This window comes from Homo sapiens, chromosome 17 (genome assembly GCF_000001405.40).
Source record: "Homo sapiens chromosome 17, GRCh38.p14 Primary Assembly".
NCBI classification, from domain to species: Eukaryota; Metazoa; Chordata; class Mammalia; order Primates; family Hominidae; genus Homo; species Homo sapiens.
The window spans coordinates 43591292-43593034 of record NC_000017.11 but is presented as its reverse complement, the minus strand read 5'-3'; the positions used below and the strand labels follow the sequence as shown (position 1 = coordinate 43593034).

At 51.1% G+C, this 1743-nt stretch overlaps 1 annotated feature.

Annotated features, from left to right (window-relative positions):
* Positions 353 to 852: an enhancer, noted in NCBI's record as "H3K4me1 hESC enhancer chr17:41669551-41670050 (GRCh37/hg19 assembly coordinates)". NCBI's record gives its function as "activates a minimal SCP1, AML or CMV promoter by ChIP-STARR-seq in primed H9 embryonic stem cells {active_cell/tissue: H9 hESC(primed)}" and the evidence as "EXISTENCE:reporter gene assay evidence [ECO:0000049][PMID:30033119]".

Sequence of the window (1743 nt, the reverse complement as noted above, 5' to 3'; positions counted from 1 at the left end):
CCACCTTCTGTGTTCAAGCGATTCTCCTGCCTCGGCCTCCCGAGTAGCTGGGATTACAGGCATGCACCACTGTGCCCAGCTAATTTTTGTATTTTTAGTAAAGATGTGGTTTCACCATGTTGGCCAGACTGGTCTCGAACTCCTGAGCTCAAGTGATCCGCCTGCCTCCGTCTTCCAAAGTACCAAGACTACAGGCATGAGCCACTGCTCCCAGCCAAGAAAACAGTACTTAACCCTGAATGGAGTGATCAGGAAATGCTTCCTGAAGGAAGAAACTCCTGAGGTGAATCTTCCAGAAGGAGCCTGATGAAGAGGTAAAAAGATGCCCCAGGTGAATGAAGCTGTGTATGCAAGAGCACGGAGGGTAAGGAGTTTGCAAAGAACCACAGGGGTGGGTGGTGGGTTGGCAGCCAAGTGGCTAGAGATGGGGAGAGTGGCTGGGAAGAGACATCGGGAATCAGAGATTTCAGTTTCTGAGTGAAGGAAGGCGAGAGAGTGTGGGTGTGCCGTAGACCCCATTGCAGTAAACAGCCTCGCCTAAACCAGGCAGGGCAGATACCCCAGGCCTCCCCTGGGGCCTAGAAGCCTCCCCATCTCACTCTGCAACTCCTCGGGTTAACCAAAGCAGCATGACCTCATGTGTTATGGCTGCAAAGGCGCGGGGGAGGCCATATCCGGTGTTTGTATTGAAATTAATTGGGGGCTCCTTGGATGATGGAGGCTTTGAGGAATGCACAGGCCCCCGCATATGATCCTGTGAACAATGGTGTCACTTCAGACCACCGAGGCCCCCAGCGGCCCGCATCTGCACGTCCACAGCCCTTCTCGATGAAATAATAATCATAGACAGATATGAATATTTACAATACGAAGCAGCAACTTGCGATGGGGAGAACTCAGGCAAGCACCCCAGAGCTATTTTTAGCCTTGGAAACGGAGCCCCATTTTACCAGGGCAGCAGCGTGTCGATCAGGAAAATCAGGAAAATCCCACCGCTCCCCGCCAAGCCCTGATTTATGATGATTCAGAGGGGAGATGCTGCCAGGAATGGGCCGGGGCCAGGAAAATTTCATCTGTCTGGAATCCGACAGGAAAAAAGAGGCCTGGAAATTTCAGAGGAAGCTGGGATCTGCGCCGGTTACAGCGCCTCTGTGTTCGCTCAGCTGGCTCCTGTTAGCCAGTGAAGGGTCCGCTGAGGAAAAGCGTCAGGCCAGGTTTTTCCATCATTCCAGAACCTTGAGCCTGATCCCCAGGCAGCCGCTGCTCCTGCGACCTCCGACCCCAAACAACAGGAGCCTTCACCAGGTTTCCCCCAGCCCCCCAGCCCTAGGCTATATCTTAAATCAACATCTTTGTTTTTTTGTCTTTTCCCTTACCACAAAAAATGATAGCAAAGTGATTCTATCTTTTTAGCTATTTGTTTAACCAGACATTTAGCACACTTAAGAAGCAGGGTTCAATATGAAAACCAATTAATGCAATTTAGTTTTAATTTCCTCCCCTGAAATGGCCCAGCTCTCCCAAGGTGGCCTTCTCACCCTCCTCTCTGGTGCTGGGGCACCAGGAACCCCTAGCCTCCAAACCTGATGCTACAAGCTCTAAAATGAGGCCAGAGATTAGGATTTTGCTCAAAATCTTGCTGGCAGATCCTAAAGGGGCAAACAAGATGGTGATGGAGTTCAGGACATGCTACCCCAAAATACAGCACCTCGGCAAAAGCAGCAGAAGGAGGAAGATCTCTCT